Here is a 17,269-nt window from a genome sequence, read left to right as displayed (position 1 = left end):
CAGTGTCTCCAGGAAGATGCACAAACAGCATCAAAAAACATGGCACTGCTATGACATTAAAATCATGATCAGGCTTCCTGTTGGTGAAACAAAAAGCATTTTCTTTCCTTTTTTATTTTTAAAGCCTTCTTGCCTACTTTGGAAAAGAGGAAAAGTATAATAGATGCTGATTTTAGAAAAGCAGGCCATGGTTTATATCGGAGCTTCTCAAATTTTAATGTGCATTCAAATAACTTGTAGTCTTGTTAAAATACAGATTCTGATTTAGTATTTGGAATGCATGGGGCAGGACCTGAGATTCTGCATTTCTTACAAGCTCTCAGGTGATAAGGAGCACATTTTGAATGGCAAGAGTTTACAGGATACCAAAATTCAAAAAGACAACAATAAAAATCAACTTTGGTTCCAATACCAGACTTGATTTCCAAATCACAAGATTAGGTTTGTGCTAATAAAACTGTAAGTCTGCTATGATATATAAACCTATATTTAAGTATTGATGGTCTCCTAAATACTCATCTAAGCCATTCTTTCTCTGTCAGGGCACTATTTTCACACAGTGGTGCTGGTGCCACTCTCCCTGCCTCACACTGAAGGTCTCAGAAAACAGGGGCACTTGCTGAATGGGGAAAGCAGGAATTGTCTTGGACAGCCCTACCAAGCCAGGAAATCTAAGGTTATATAACAGCAGCCCTGCTCTATTTTACCTTCAATGATGCATGCAATGGGTGAAGAGGAAAAGTATTAACTCTACCATCACTAATTTTCACCCATATATCTTCAGACATTTACCACAAGAAGACAGATTATGGTACTGCAATTAATTCCATGAAAAGAGGAAGAAAATTTCGTTGCTGATTGGAAGAAGGGAGAACCTTCAATGTTACATAAGAGCAGTGTTTTTTTCCTCCGGTTCCACCTTACTTTCCCTAGTCAATGAAAAATTCTAGTCCTGGGGGTATCATTGAAATTTAAAGCTTCCTTGGTTTTATCAAGGGAAAAAAAAGCTAGGGAATCACTAACTCATATGAAGAAGATAAACATGTAGCTATGAATAGCATAGTCCTCCCTTCTTTCCTACCTCTTCTCTCACCTGCACCTTTTAAAAAGGGCACAGTAGCAGACTTTAATGCTCACTGGCTTTCATAGACAAATCATTAATCTTCTCCACATTACTTATCGCGGCAGCTGGGATAATGTTTGCTCTAATCTAACAGATTTTCATTTCAAAACCAATTGTAAAGCTCAGCAGGGTGCTATATACAACTTTAATGAGAGCTTCTTACCCAAGACTCCTCCAATATGTGCTTTTTCTGAATTGTTGAATTTTACTAGTTGGAGGTTGTTAAATGAAGAAAGGAAAAGGTTAACCAAGAAACAGAATTTTTAAAATGTATTTCCTTTCATATATTTTCTGTTCATATAAGTATAAAACACTAATAAATTTGACCCAGCTGATGACAGAATTTATCTTCTGTGATTTCTAAGCCAGCTCTATGTAACTCCTTTATAGACCATTTTACATAGCATCCTTTGGCTCCCTACACTTAATGCAGAGCAAGAGAGTAGCTATGTAAACCTGCTGACAGCTGTTTAATACGAGAGGTGGAAAGTAGTGGACATATCCTGGCAGTGTGCTTAATGGATACACAAACACCACGGTCATCAGCCTGAAGTGATTCTGGCAGAAAATTAACTTAGAGATACAAAACTCATTTGGTGAGAAGATCCACAGCAATCTGGACAATATCAGGCTGTGTAATGGGGAGAGAGGCAAAATAAGGAGATGTATTTTCCTAAACTTCCCTTTAAGGAGGAAGAATTTTAAAAATATTTTTTATCCACATGCCATTACATAGTTGTCTTGCTTTAACACAAAAGCCAGCAGTTGTCTCCTCTTTGGAAAGCAAATGCTACCATTTATTTATAAATAATGCAATAAATAGAGGGATAGAGTTATGTTGGAGACTTGTTTGTTAATACAAAAGTATTACTAAAGCACAGTATTTTTTTGAGATAATTTGAAACATGTTTTTTTTTTTAACCACCAAGTGATTCTACTTAAAAAAAAATTTTTAATTATCTTTCCGATCACTATGATGTTTAAGTCAGATGAAGGAAGAAAACTAATGTGTGTTGGATTATAAATTATAACACTGTGCTTTAAGAATATAATTAATATATACATTATCTTCCAATTCTCGTAACTACTCTGGAGGCAGGTATAATTATTCTCATTTTACATATGAGAAAACAAAGTTAGATACATTAATCTGTCTATCTCACACAGCAGTTAGGTAACAAAGCTATGATTTGCCCATGTGCCTGGATCTACAGTCTATGCCATGCAGGCCCATCCTGCAGTTAAACAGCAAAGGCATTATGAGAAGGCCAAAATAGTGTTTTGAGGCTGGGTGTGGTGGCTCACGCCTGTAATCCCAGCACTTTGGAAGACGAAGGCGGGCAGATAACTTGAGGCCAGGAGTTTGAGACCAGCCTGGCCACCATACTGAAACCGTCTCTACTAAAAATACAAAAATTAGCTGGGTGTGGTGGCATGTGCCGGTAATCCCAGCTACTTGGGAGGCCGAGGCAGGAAAATGACTTGAACCCAGGAGGCAGAGGTTGCAGTGAGCCGAGATCGTGCCACACTGTACTACAGCCTGGGCAACAGAGTGAGACTCCATCTCAAAAAACAAACACAAAATGGTGTTTTGATATTAATGTTTAAGATGTCTTTCATCAAAAACATAAGCCTAGTTAACTATAAAAAGCAAACCGAAGAAGCATTTAAAGAAAACATAAATTTTTCTAAGGGACAACCTTCAGAATGACCCAAAAAAACCCCAGAAGCCATAAAAGTAAAGACTAATATATTTGACTACGTAAAAATAAAAACTTTCTGTATTTCAACATATGCCATACATGATCAAATGACAAATTGTTGGAGAAAATATTTGCAACACACAGTATAGAAAAGGACTCATTTTCTTAATGTGAAAAGGGCTCCCACAAATAAAAAAGACCCAAAGTCTAATAGAAAAAATGGACAAAGAGCATGAACACAAAATTCACAGAAATCTGAATTACTCTTTAAGTGTATTAAAAATGTTCAACCTCAACATATACAAACTAAAGCAAAATAAGATATCATTTTAACAAATCTATCAGGCCGGGTGTGGTGCCTCATGCCTGTAATCCCAGCACTTTGGGAGGCCGAGGTGGGTGGATCACGAGGTCAGGAGTTCAAGACCAGCCTGACCAAGATGGTGAAACCCTGTATCTACTAAAAATACAAACATCAGCTGGGCGTAGTGGCAGATGCCTGTAATCTCAGCTACTTGGGAGGCTGAGACAGAATTGCTTGAACCCAGGAGGTGGAGGTTGCAGTGAGCCCAGATGGCGCCACTGCACTTCAGCCTGAGTGACAGAGTGACACTCTGTCCCAAAAAAAAAAGTCTATCAGATTGGCAAAAATAAAAAGTTTCTTCTCTGCTGCCAGGAGAATGGACTCTCAAACACTGCCAGTGGGAGTGTAAATTATTTCAACCTCTACAGAGGGCAATTTGGCAATATCAAAATGAAAAGTGCACATACACTTTGACCCATCAATTCTACATCAAAGAGTTGATCTTACAGATATAATCTTGCATGTACAAAGTACCCTACATACACAAATAATAACTGGAGAGTTGTTTTAGTAAAAGCCTAGGAGGGGGTAATCTAAATACTCCAAAACAGAGAACTGGTTTAATAAATGGCAGTATAATGTAAAACTATACAGCCACAATAAAAGAATGAGCATTGGTACCGATACGAAATGACCTCCAAGAAATTCTGAGTAGAAAGAAAAGGGCACAGCAGAGGTGTAAATATGAAAAACAAAATGAGTATAAATGTGTGGATGGGGATCAGGAGCAGGTGGGAGATTTAGCGTATACCCTTATACCTTTTAAAAATTCTGTGGAATGTGTGTACTTCCCCTTCAAAAACTTAGTATGTTTTTATGTTTAAAAAAATAAAACGTTATATGTTTTGAAAATAGAATGTAAAGAGGAAAACGTTACCTGATAATGGCTTTATTGTAATCACTTGTGATATATTACAAAACAATAGTTTTAGGTTCTTTGTATTTCATTTCAAAATGCAAACCTAACTAAAATGTTCTTCATTTATTAATATGAGAAGATACTAAAGGAATGTGTAGTATCAGTGGGCCCCTTTTATAATAAAGATTATGGATGATGAGGCTAATGACCATTTTATAAAAATAGGAGTCAGGTTACAGGTGATATTACCTGACCCATCTTATTCCAAAAGCCACATATAAACATGCTAAACTCATATTATATTAAGATAACTGGCACCTCAACTGTGATAGTATAATGTCATTTTAGTCCACCAACAACTGCAAAAGGGAGCTGATCCTCAAAGTCCGCAAAAAGGAGGGAAGGGCAAATTATAAGTAGTTTTCTGGGAACCTAGGAAAAGGCATACTTTTGAGAATGAGATAAGACTTGGGGGAGGGGACAATACCCAAAACCAGAGATCAAGAATGCTGACACGAATAACATGAATATTATTTTCTGTAGTTTGAGAAAATATAGTTAACACTCATTTCCATAAAACAAACAGGTCTGTATCATTGCCTAGGAAGGTAAACTGTAAAGGGAGTTTCCCGGAAGACTGAAATATACATCTAGAAATATATGATTCTTTTTTTTTTTAATGGGAGCAGGAGTTTCCCTCTCCAGTGAGACACAAACACCAGGTCTCTCCTCTATCCCAACTTTTCAAGTATCAAATATAGAAATTCTAAAAATGTATATTCCCTTTACCGCTTTAAGAACATTGTTTACAGTTTAGTATTCACAAAATGAAAAGACAAGCTCTGCTAAAGTGCCTTCAGAAAATTTGAACAGGGTTTGGTGGAACTAAGCAGATCAAGATTTCAGACTTTATTTTAAAAACACTGAGATACCTCAGAAATGCATGGCTCACTGGGCACACTAATAACTAGCTTCAAATACCAGTTGAAGTCATCGTGGAATGGAAAGGCAATGCTTCTAACTGTAACGCCAAACAGCTCCTGCCCAACTTCCTCACATGGGTTCCTTCTCCTGTGCTTTATTCCAAAGCTTCTGGTCCCTCCATAAGCTGTGAGTTACCTTTTGGACTGGTGTTTCCACACATGATCAATTCACTGGGAGATGCTGGATGAAGATGCTCCATTTCTACCACACAGCTGGGCTTGAAACACTTTTCCCTCACTCTCCTTGGCTGTAGACACCTGCCAAACACCCACAACTCTGAAGTGCCTATAATGCTTTCACTGGGGAGAACTTTTAAAATGAAATCTCATCAGATAGCAATGTATACTTCCACTTCCCAATGTGATGAATTTGGTCAGAAGGCAAGCAAGCAATGCCAGGTTAGAAAAGGGAAGTTCAAGACATTTGGGGGAGAGAGGTCATCTACCTTCTTCTCTTTCTGACACATAGTAAGGAAGAGTTTTCCTCGCTATGGATTATGAATATCTGAGCCTGGCTTATGAATATATTTAATAATATTTCTAGAGATCCCTAAGACAGCTCTCAAAGGTCAATTAAAATATATTAACAGTAATTCTGCACTGAAAATCAAGAAAAGGATCAACAAAAACATAACCTTTGCAAAAAGGAATTTTTCCAGTCCAGGAAAATATACTTTCATTTGTTGTACCTATATCTACCTTTACATACCATGTATGTGTTCTTGTTTACCATTTTCACTGGACAAATCCATTAAGAGTGAGGATTTGAGGTTGCTGCAAAATTGTAAGTTTAACTGAACCTATTTTTAAAGGAGCTTTTTCCTTTTAAAAAGCAAGCTTATCCAGGAGGAAAGCACAATAACAAAGTTAACCTCAACCATCTTTCATAATTAAGTTTGTAGGTGGAACTCAGTACAGAATATAACTCCAGTGTGTTCTCTTAAGTTCTGGCATGGACTTGCCTTTTAGAAACTTTTAATTATGCCAGTCATACAGAAAAGAAGCGATATTGTATTTGTAACATATCGTCCCATGGTTCTCTGAAGTATGGTTCTTTGAAACAAGAATTATTTAATCTAGGTGGTTAAAGGCTAAATGAAGCTATCATATATTGAGTGGGTATTACTTGAAGCATACTTTTTTAAAATCTCACAACCCACCTCTAAGAGGTAAGTTTGATTGTTACTTCATAGATGTGCACACTAAAGCCCAAAGTCAGATGGCTAACAAGTGGATAAGCTGTAATTTAATCCAGGTATATTTGACTCCAAAACCTAAGTTCTGAACTACTGTCTAAGGAACTACTGTCTTAGGTCTCATCTGCAAGACACAGTCTGCTGTTCTATGTTACCACTGGTGACTGAATGTATGGCCCATTATAAACATACTACCCTCAATGTATCTAATCATGTATTTTATAAATATACAGAAAGTTACAGAGAATAACACAACAACTGCACCCACTAGCTAGCTTTGTCTAATCTTAACATTTCACTATATTTGCTTCAGAGTTTTAATAAGAAAGAAAACACCACAGGTCAAGTTGAAAATCTGTGTGTACTCCTCAAATCCTATACCCTTCTCTGTTTCCTAGAAGTAACTGCTATCCTAAATTTGGTTCAGGGTTTGCATTCCAATGCATGTTTTAATACTATTTCTACAAATAAGTATCCACAAACACAAGATTTTGCAAGTTGCCCAACTTTATATAATGGTGTCATACATACACATCATTCAGAAACTTGTTTTTTAATTCAACCATGTTTTTGAGATGTATTCCTTGCTAATAGCTGCATAGTGTTCTAGGGTATGAACAAACCACAATTAATCTATTCACTTGCTGCTGGAGAGTTGGCTTGTTTCTAAGTTTTCCATTAACATAAACACTGCTATGATGAATACTCTTGTACCTGACTCCTTTGAACAAGCATTTCCAGAATACAGACTTAGAAATGTCAGGCCAAAAGGAATGCCTCCTTTATCAAATATTGCCAAACTGTTCATGAAGGCAGTATTCAATTCTTACACCCACCAATAGCAGAGCCCACACATCCTCATTAACATTTGGCAGTGCCAGACATTTTAATTTTTGCCAATAAAATGGTGTGAAATTACCTCATTTTTGTTTTAATTTGCATTTCTCTGATTAGTAATGAGATTTAGTATATTTTCATAATTACTAGCCACAATCCTTAAAGAAACTACAAAAGCACAGTTAACTAACTAAGCATCCAGGGCAGAGTTATAATATAAAAGATTTCCCTAAAGGTAAATATCCCATGTTAAATTCTAGATAACAAGAGAAACAGTAAAATATATACTCCTCCTCCTTGTAGACCTTAAATAAAGTATAAGGTTACATCTACCAGTCTTGGTTTAGTCATCATATTGGTAAAAAGCAGGAGGTTAAAATTAAACGATCTAACGTATCTTCCAACGAATGATTATTTTCTAAATTTGCAGAACTGCACCTGCATCACTTTTAAGCATCTTAATGGAAACAGTATTTTGTGCCAATGAAGCAGAAAGAAGAGGCAAAAAGAAGAGACAGAGAAGTGGGTTGATGCTTAACTCTATACCATCTTCCCTGTATCCTCAAGATTAAATAGGAAATGCCTCCTCCCTTTAGAAAATAGGACCACCCGCCAATCCCATCCGCCAGGAGAAAGAGGATTTCAGTCAAACAGCAACATGAATGAAAAGAGATGATTGAAGCCAGATATACTCTGTGCACTCCAATATTTTTAAAAATTAAAAACAAAAATCTAGGGCTGGCCATGGTGGCTCACGCCTGTAATCCCAGCACTTTGGGAGGCTGAGGCGGGTAGATCACCTGAGGTCAGGAGTTCAAGACCAGCCTGACTCATATGACAAAACCCCGTCTCTACTAAAAATACAAAAATTAGCTGGGCATGGTGGCAGGTGCCTGTAATCCCAGCTACTCGGGAGGCTGAGGCGGGAGAATCGCTTAAACCAGGGAGGTGGAGGTTGCAGTGAGCCAAGATCGCGCCACGGCACTCCAGCCTAGGCGACAAGAGTGAAACTCCATCTCAAAAAAAAAAAAATAATAATAATAATAATAAAGTAAAATTACAAACAAAAATCTCTACTATTTCACCAATTAGTGATTTATCTGTGTTAACAAATTCTCTCTCTCTTTTTAACAAAACTTTTAAAAAGTTTTACAAACTTACAAAAAAGTTGCACGACTAATATTAGTCAATCCCATACAGCCTTTATAGAATTCAGCAACCGTTTACATTTTGCCCCCATTTGCTTTACCATTCTCATTCTCTCTCTCTCCCCTTGCAAACATTTTTTGGGAACTATTTGAGAGTAAGTTGGACAAATACCTCCTTTAACAATAAATACCTGGGCTTAAATAAGCCTGTTAGTTATCTGTAGGTCTTATGCCATCAAAACCTCTTGCATCTGGCTTGAGAAAAGTATTTTCCCCAAAAGCAAAACTTTAAATGTCAGGAGTTTAACTTTAGTACCCATGCAGTATAGATTAAATAGGGTAGTGGTTCATTAACTTTTGCTGAACATCCAAATAACATGGGGTGTCTTTTTTAAAAATACTGATACCTGGCTTCCATTCCAAATACTTTGATTCCACGTGTATGAGGTGTAACCTGGACATTGGAGGTTTTTTTTGTTTTTTTTTTAACTCTCCAGTTTTTAAATGTGTGGCTAAGTTTTAAAACCAGTATTTCAGGGCTTAGGCACCTACACACCATTTGAAATACTGGTTCTAGGAAAATGTGCTACAATGCCAAGCAACTGATTAAAATAAGTCAAATACCATTACATCACAAACTGAGGCAGGTAGAAGCTTCCAATATATGGTTTTAGGCAAATACTGTGTGCTTTCTATGTGTTGTTCTGGGGCTGTAGGATGCAAAGCTAGGAAATAGGCAATACACACAAATAACTACAACAGACGGCAGTATGTACTATATCAAACATATGTCAACATGAATAAGAACATGGAATGTATTTGTTTTGAAGGTTCACAGACTGGTGAGTGGTCCCGAAAGAAGGTGAGATATTCATTAAGGGAGAAAGATGACTTTACTAGGCAAGACTGAAGTAGAATCAAAGGACACTCTGGTAAACAACATCAGCAAGAAGTCTGTGCCACAAAAATGTTAGCGAATGATAGTGTTCCATTAAAGCCCCAAGTGAAGTTGAAAATACAGGACATAAATTTTGTATATACTAATCAATGTAACTCAAATTCGTGTATTAGGAATTAGGAATGATATATATAACAGTGTCTGGCACACAGAGGTGATCAGTGAGTCTTCCTTTCTGTTTCTCTGACTTAGAACAAAAAGTTGACTACGTAAAATTTAGAAAATACACTCAAGTATAATTATGAAAATAAAATCATCCATAATCCTAGTACCCAAATAACCAATGTTGATATTTAAGGTAACTCCTTACTGAAGTTATTCCTCTAGATTACTCCAGATGTTTTATAATACAAAAAAGAATTTTGTATAAAAAACAACAAGCCCCTCAGCCATTCCCCCTCCTGATGTACACTTAAGAGGATCAACTGAAGTTGCAATATGGTCAGAGCAGCCACTAGAGGGTGGCCGAGGCTGATGCATCCATCACCCTCCCCTACTTTCTCAAAGGCCTTTAACTGCCATTCATGTTACGATTTCTGGACCTGCACACCTCATCACATAAAGATTAAAAATTACTATCAGCCAGGCATGGTGGCTCACACCTGTAATTGCAGCACTTTGGAAGGCCGAGGCGGCTGGATCACGAGGTCAGGAGTTCAAGATCAGCCTGACCAATATGGTGAAGCCCAGTCTCTACTAAAAACACAAAAATTAGCCAGGCGTGGTGGCACGCACCTGTAGTCCCAGCTACTCGGGAAGCTGAGGCAGAAGAATCCCTTGAACCCGGGAGGCGGAGGTTGCAGTGAGCCAAGATCGCGCCACTGCACTCCAGCCTGGGTGACAGTGCACGACTCCGACTCAAAAAAAAAAAAAAAAAAATACTATCAAAAAGAAAGGAGGAAGCTCTTCAGGGTAATGAAGTGTTAATAGTTTGGATATCAAATACGGCTACCCAGGATATCAAATATAGCTACTGATTTGTTAGTATATACAAAATTTATCTGCTATGTACTGTATTTCATTCAACTACTTGGTACTTTACCAAATGTCTCCCTCTGTGCTTCTTGAGAACACGACGCAACTTCTCCACTAGGAACGGAGATGCTTACATTACACAGCATACAGCAGCATTCTACATTCCACTACTGCCTGCCACACCCCATCCCCACCATTTAACATAACTGACGCAGTGTGTGCTAAACATCTCAATTCTGAATACTATTACAGAATTTGTTTCAAAGTACTATAACATATCCCAACTATCAAATGTCTAATTTTAAGTATCTTTTTTATATTTTGAACTTTCATATTATAGTTTCCAAAAAAAGAATGACAAGAAATATAGCTACGTATTCTTTAATTAGCTGAGAAACAGGTTAAAACCATTTTCCAAAGATTTACATGAAGTTTTACCTTCCCCGAATCCTCTTAATTGATCAGGTGTGATCATAAATGATATAATAATTTATAGTATTTGATCACGTTTTAAGTGTAATAGAGTTCTGGACAACTACAAAACCAATTAATATAAAATTAATTGTGCTACTGATTGTGGAGAATCAAATAATGTTCTGAGAACATACAAGTTACAAACCAAGATGATAACAATCTGAAGAAAAAAACAACTTTCTTCCTCCTTGGTACTTTTAGCATAAATGCCACAAAGTACAAATCCACAAACCAAAAGGAAATGAAAATTAAAACTACAAATTAAAATTAAAAATACAAATTAAAACTACATTCCACACTCAGTGGAATGACCAAAATTTTTTAAAGACTGACAACACCAGGTGTTGGCAAGGATATGGAGCAACTGGAACGCTCATGTACTACTGATGGGAATTTGTAAAACAGTACGGCCACTCTGGAAAACAGTTTGGCAGTTTCTTATAAAGTTAAGCATACAGCTGCTGTACTTTATCATACAACCCCAAAATTCTACTGTGTGTATTTATGCAAGAAAATAAAAGCATACATTCATACAAAGACCTGTACTCAAAGGTCTACAGAAACTTAAAATACTCCAATACTGGAAATAACCCAAATATCCATCAGCTCAACAAACTGTGGTAAATTTATGCAATGGAAAGCAATGAAAAGGAACAAACTACATGAAAACAACATGAATGAGTCCCAAACGTATTATGCGAATTGAAACAAGCCAGACACAACTGTATACATCCATTAATATGAATTTTTAGAAAAAGCAAAATGAGCCAGTCATTGGCATGCACCTGTAAGTGCCAGCTACTTGAGACGCTGAGGTGCGAGGATCACTTGGGCCCAAGAGTTCAAGACCAGGCTGTGCAACACAGTGAGTCCTCATCTCTTTAAAAAAAAAAAAAAAAAAAAGTTGGGCCGGGCGCAGTGGCTCAAACCTGTAATCCCAGCACTTTGGGAGGCCGAGGTGAGCGGATCACCTGAGGTCAGGAGTTTGAGACCAACCTGGCCAACATGGTGAAACCCCATCTCTACTAAAAATACAAAAAATTAGCCAGGCATGGTGGCAGGCGCCTGTAATCCCAGCTACTCGGGAGGCTGAGGCAAGAGAATTGCTTGAACCCGTGAGGCGGAGGTTGCAGTGAGCTGAGATTGCGCCATTGCACTCCAGCCTGGGTGACAGAGCAAGATCCTGTCTCGGAAAAAAAAAAAAAAAAGGTTGGGGGCGTAAAAGCAAAATGATAGTGACAGAAAACAGGTCCATGTTTGTCATAGACCAGGGCATGAAAAGACTTAACAGCTGAAGACAAAAGCAAGCAACATATCACCAAACCTGAATTAATCTAATCAAAATGACAGTGTTAGATATAAACTTTCAAAATCCCAGTTAAAGTCCTGTACAATGGCTCCTCAAATAACACTGTTTCCTTCAACATCATTTCATTAGAAGGATGGTAAGGGGGGAAAAAAATCAACTCCCAACTGAGGCCACTGTCTATATGGTTCACACCTTCTCCCCATGCACACCTGTTTTTTTTCTGCGTACTCTTCCCACATCCCAAAGCTATGCATGCTAGGTTCATTGATGAGTCTAAACGGTTCCAGAATGAGTGACTGTGAGTGCGCCCTGCAATGGGATGGTGCCCTGTCCAGGGCTGGTTCTCACCTGGCACCCTGAGCTGGAATAACTGGGTAAATATTATCTTGTGCTTAGTTTCTGTCTTAAATATATGTACAGTTCACATTTATGTCAATATTCAATGTTAGAAGTGTTTTGGTCTTTATTTAGACATTTAGTGATGTTTTTGCGACCAGAAATATGCCATAGGAATTTAACTCTGCCAGTTACCTGACAGACATGGAACCAACATTTTTTTCTCTTGCGCCCCCACCGTCCACAAATTCTCATTTCAGCAAAAAGGCCAAAACAAGTGATAAAATATCAATTTCAGATTCAAAAGAATGTAATGTAACTCTAACCTATTTGTTAATTCTGGCAAGTGGCTACATACTGTTTATAACTTAAAATGCAACGGTAACCACCAGTCATAACATTGTCTCTTAAAACATATTCAGATCAAAGCAGAGAGGTTTCTGTATTTCTATTGGAGTTTAAGATGAAGGAGGAGACCTAATCTGGCCCAGGAACTTCCTGGGAAACCTCCTTCAATATAAATTAAACCACACCTACTTTTAAAACAAAATCTGGATGGTGGCTACGTATGCTGGGTTATAGCAGGATCCTGTAAAAGTTCAGAATACAGTTTTGGCAAGCTCTTGTAGACTAACAGATGTATAAGAGAGATTTGGAAGATCTTTTTGTCTCTCCCAATATAACCATTTTCAGATATTTACACTGAAGACTGCAGGGTGGGAAATAAACACTGGCTCTCTTCTAACCTGATATTCAGCAGTATTTTGGAACTTACTTGCTGGTCAGTAGAAAGAAGAAATACACCACCAGAAGTACAAGATGTCAGTGAGAAATAAAGCCAAAAGCATTTATCACTTGTTAAGATGCTACCGAAACCTAGTATTTTCTCCCCTTCCACAAAACAGTACCTGGCATCAGAGATCACACACTCATAGTGAAAAAGTTTAGAAAGTTTTCTCTTTAAATTTTATTTAACTATTTATTTGATTAGTTAATATACTCAAAGGGCTCAATTCAAAAGACACAAAAAGGTATACAATGAAGATTCCCTCTGCTCAGGTCTTCCATTCGGTTTTCCTCCTGAGTGACTTTTGAGGTGCTTATTACTGATAACACAGGTCTGCAAGGCAACCAATTTTAGTATAGGAGCTAATAGCTGGTCGGAACAACATGCTCACAAGCAAACTTTGAAGGGATTCTTAATTACCAAAGGATTAATTAAACCCTGGATGTAAGCATAAAAGGAATGATTATATATTTACATATCCATTAGTAGAAATCCCATTGTGATTTTTTTTTTTTACAGATCACAGCACACTGAACAAATCTAAATCTGTACTCTTCAACTAGGTCTTACAAGTGAGCCATTGTCTTTCAGTACTAAAGTCCTCAAGAAGCTTAAACTTAACCTGGCTAACAGTAAAACAATCCTGCGTAAGGATAGGGAACAGGAAAAGCAGAAAGAAAAAAGCAATGGGGTGGGGACAAAGGGAAGAAGATGAGAGAGATGGTGGTGGAGGGGGAGATAGAAGGAGAGAAAGAGAAGAGGTGAGAGAGAGAGAAAATCTCTCTGTTGTCCACAGTGGCGTTCTCATGCTCAAAATTCTAGCTTTAAATAGAGCACTCAAACTGCTGGGAGAGAAGGGGTGGAGTAGATTACTTCTAAGACAGATTCCAACTTTTGTTTCCATTTCAAAATTCTCACTTCTTAAGCATTTGGCCCAAAAATTGTTACATATTTTCCTGCTTAAAAAAATGTTCCTCTATTTGTGAGTTTACCTGGGTTTTCCTAAATATAAAATCAAGATAGAAAAGAAAAACCTTAAAAACAGTTTTCAAGCCCTTTAGATACAGCCATGCATATTTAATTGATAAGCTAATTATAAGCTATATTATCATTAATGCAGGTCTCAAGGCCTTTCTATACTACCTTTTTTTAAGGCTAGTCTTAATTGCTATTCTCAACAACCTATTTATTCTAATAATCCTGGTTTTGGAACACTTGTTAATTAGATAAGGCAAAGGCTATGTGAAAGTTACCTAACTGAAACCCTTGTTTTCAGAAAGGTACTCTAAATCAGTATCTTAAACCTGCTATGCATGTGAATCACCTGGGGATCTTGTTAAAATGCAGGTTCTGATCCAGCAGGTCTGGGGTGAGGCCTGTATTTCCAGCAGCTCCCAAGTGCTATTAATGTAGCTAGTCCCTGGATCAGACTTTGGGTAACAAGGCCCTAAATCATTCTTCAAGATTTCAAGTTATCCCTTCCACAGTCTCCCAAAAATTGTATTTGTAAATAATATAACCAATGTACACCACCACCCAGCTTTGTGAGTACCTACGGAAACTGATGTGGGTTGCTTTCTCAGTTGTGTTCAAATTTTCCAAAAGCTTCTTTAGTTTATTGAGCCTAAATTAATTAAAAATACCCCTCTGTGGCTGTGCAGGAATCACATCTTGCATCAGGCAAGAATTCACTTAGAGCTGATATAGGCTAATACCATAGTTTTAAATTTAAAATGTATACTGTTAAATTATTCTTCAAGTTAATTATAACTACTTGATTAGCAATTCCTAAATCCTACACAACGAACTAAGTGATCTTTTTTTTTAAATTGAAACAGGGTCTCACTCTGTCACCCAGACTGGAGTGCAGTGGCACAATCATAGCTCACTGTGGCCTCGACCTCCTAGGCTCAAGTGATCCTCCCACCTCAGCCTCCCAAGAGCTAGGATTACAGGAATATACCATCATGCCGGACAAATTTTTGTATTTTTTGTAGAGATGGAGTTTTACTGGTCCTGAACTCCTGAGCTCAAGCGATCCTCCTGCCTTGGCCTCCCAAAGTGCTAGGATTACAGGCATGTAATCCTCAGCCTCCCAAAGTGTTAGGATTACAGGCATGAGCCACCAAGCATCCAGCCAGTGATGAAATTTTTATAGTTAAATGAGAAGGACAATATCAGTTTTTCATAAAGCTAAATATATGCTATATTGTTACATTTGTTATAATTTATTTATAACTCTATGGTGATGATTTTCCTTTTAAATGTCCAAATGAATAAAAGTTGGCAAGTGTATGTCCATCACTTTCTCTTCACTCTTTAATTTTTAAAAACTGCTTACCCTGATAAAAAAATCTGAGAACTAACAAATTCAAATAACTTCTCCACACCTCTTCCTTCTCTGAGAACTCGGGATGCTAAACAGAGTATGTGTGTGTATGACTGCAGGAGCACTTGGAACCACTTGTGGCCCTTTTTATTAATTATCCCCATCAATCCCCAAGTTGTGACTTCATTTACTAATGGAATTGTGCTGATCCTCTCGGATGAGTCTGGACTGGAAGAGGGGCAGGGGTGCAATATTTAGACGCACGATATGAGGCAATTCCTAAAGCCCTTGGAACTTAGACATCCTGTGATTTCACAGAATCCACACCATTTCTTCGTCCCTCCAAAGCTTGAGCCAAAACCATCAATTAAAAAAAAAAAAAAAAAAAAAACCCTCTTCCTCACCTCCGTAGGCTTAGCACATGGCAGTGTTACACAGAAGTTTTCTGAGAAGGATGTAGATGAGTTTTGTACACCCTGCCCACTCTGTGTTATACATAAGAGAAAGAAGCCATGCTTAGCTGCATGCAAGCAGGTTGTCTTGCATTAATAATACTGAATGAGGACAAAAAGCACTCGAAACAGCAGAGTTCCAGAAGAACACCAAATTTATATTTAATTTAAAAAGGACAGCCTCTTAATTAGGCAAATTTCACATTTTTTTATAAAAAAGAAACAATTAGAATTGTTTAGTGTGAATAAAATTAGTGTGAAATTTCTCACTATCCCAAATTCTATCACAGCAAACACAGAGACATACAACAGCTGGTCAATTTAACTTACATATCCTGTTATTAAACATTACCTCAGGTCCATTAAACTCACTTTCTTCCCCAACTCCTTCCCCACAAAAAAGACTATAAATTGTATACTGCATGTCATAATGGGAAGATGATTACCTTTTTCTGGGGCATGATACATGCAGAAGCTGTAACTACAAGAAACTGAAGTAAAAGTAACCCATATTATACATCTTCAATGTAAGTCTCAGAGACACACCATGCAGAGAAGAGTTGCTGAAGTCAGCTGGCTCTATCTTCATCTGTGTTTACTTAGCACACCATGAGACGACTTCTCTGGTTCAATTATCTGTGGTTACCTAACTAAGAACTTTTAAAAGAGAAGGACCAGAATTATTGGCTCAAGAAATCTGCCAAATGTCCATATATGTGCTGATGTCCCCTGAACTGTACATCTAGTTTAGTGTACATTGATAACAACACTCAAGTGGTCAACTTTTCCTCATACACAGTGAAGAAGTATAAAAACATAGTAATGTTTTCAATACTGTTTTAAAAACTGTTCTAGAAACCTGATGAAATTAAGATTTCTCTTGGCAAGTCATCCTTTATTAACCATGCAGAATGTAACAACTGTATAATAAATTAATGTGATTTTTAAAAATCCATCATTATAAGAAAAGTGATTCATTCTAAAAACAGTCTCTCAGGTAGCTCAAATGACTTGCCCAAGTGCTCAAAACAGAGAGGGAAGGATAGATAAAGGCTTGTCAATCCTACTTAAGAGCTCCTTCTACCACATTACATGATTCTGATCTAGAAAAGTCAGATGCCATTGACAGTGGAAATCAACTGTTAGTTTTTATTGATAATGTAATAATGCACACCACCTATACTCATTTTATATACTGGCACTATAAATAAGATTTGATTGCAAGGAACTATCCTTAGAAACCATCTGTCAATGTCTGCCATCCTTTGGTAAAGATATTAAAACCCATCTTTGAGACTTCAATACTCTTTATCAAAACATGCTTCGACAGATCTGCAGAGTGAGAGTAGAGATATAGAATATGCCCATAACAGAGCCCAATATAAAACCATCATATGTGGAGCTCCTGGGGTTTGAAATGGCACTAAAGAAATTTA

At 37.4% G+C, this 17,269-nt stretch overlaps 1 protein-coding gene across 4 annotated transcripts in view, besides 1 other annotated feature; it reads right to left on the bottom strand.

Annotated features, from left to right (window-relative positions):
- The window catches only part of ZFAND3 (zinc finger AN1-type containing 3), a 334,898-nt gene that overhangs the window by 132,197 nt on the left and 185,432 nt on the right, over positions 1 to 17,269 (bottom strand). Inside the window, exon 1 of one of the 4 annotated variants that reach the window (XM_017011171.3) lies at positions 5,169 to 15,750. The exons of the other annotated variants lie outside the window; for them this stretch is intronic. Coding sequence (XP_016866660.1) covers positions 5,169 to 5,232 — 64 coding nt within the window. The 5' untranslated portion in view covers positions 5,233 to 15,750. Of the gene's footprint in view, positions 1 to 5,168; positions 15,751 to 17,269 lie in introns of those variants that run through there. 4 annotated transcript variants of the gene reach the window in all.
- Positions 9,541 to 9,835: a silencer, noted in NCBI's record as "tiled region #1536; K562 Repressive non-DNase unmatched - State 12:CtcfO". NCBI's record gives its function as "represses a minimal TATA promoter and a strong SV40 promoter by Sharpr-MPRA in K562 cells {active_cell/tissue: K562}" and the evidence as "EXISTENCE:reporter gene assay evidence [ECO:0000049][PMID:27701403]".

This window comes from Homo sapiens, chromosome 6, assembly GCF_000001405.40.
Source record: "Homo sapiens chromosome 6, GRCh38.p14 Primary Assembly".
Lineage (NCBI taxonomy): Eukaryota > Metazoa > Chordata > Mammalia > Primates > Hominidae > Homo > Homo sapiens.
Note: the sequence above shows the minus strand (reverse complement) of the source record. Positions and strands in the feature narration are given on the sequence as shown.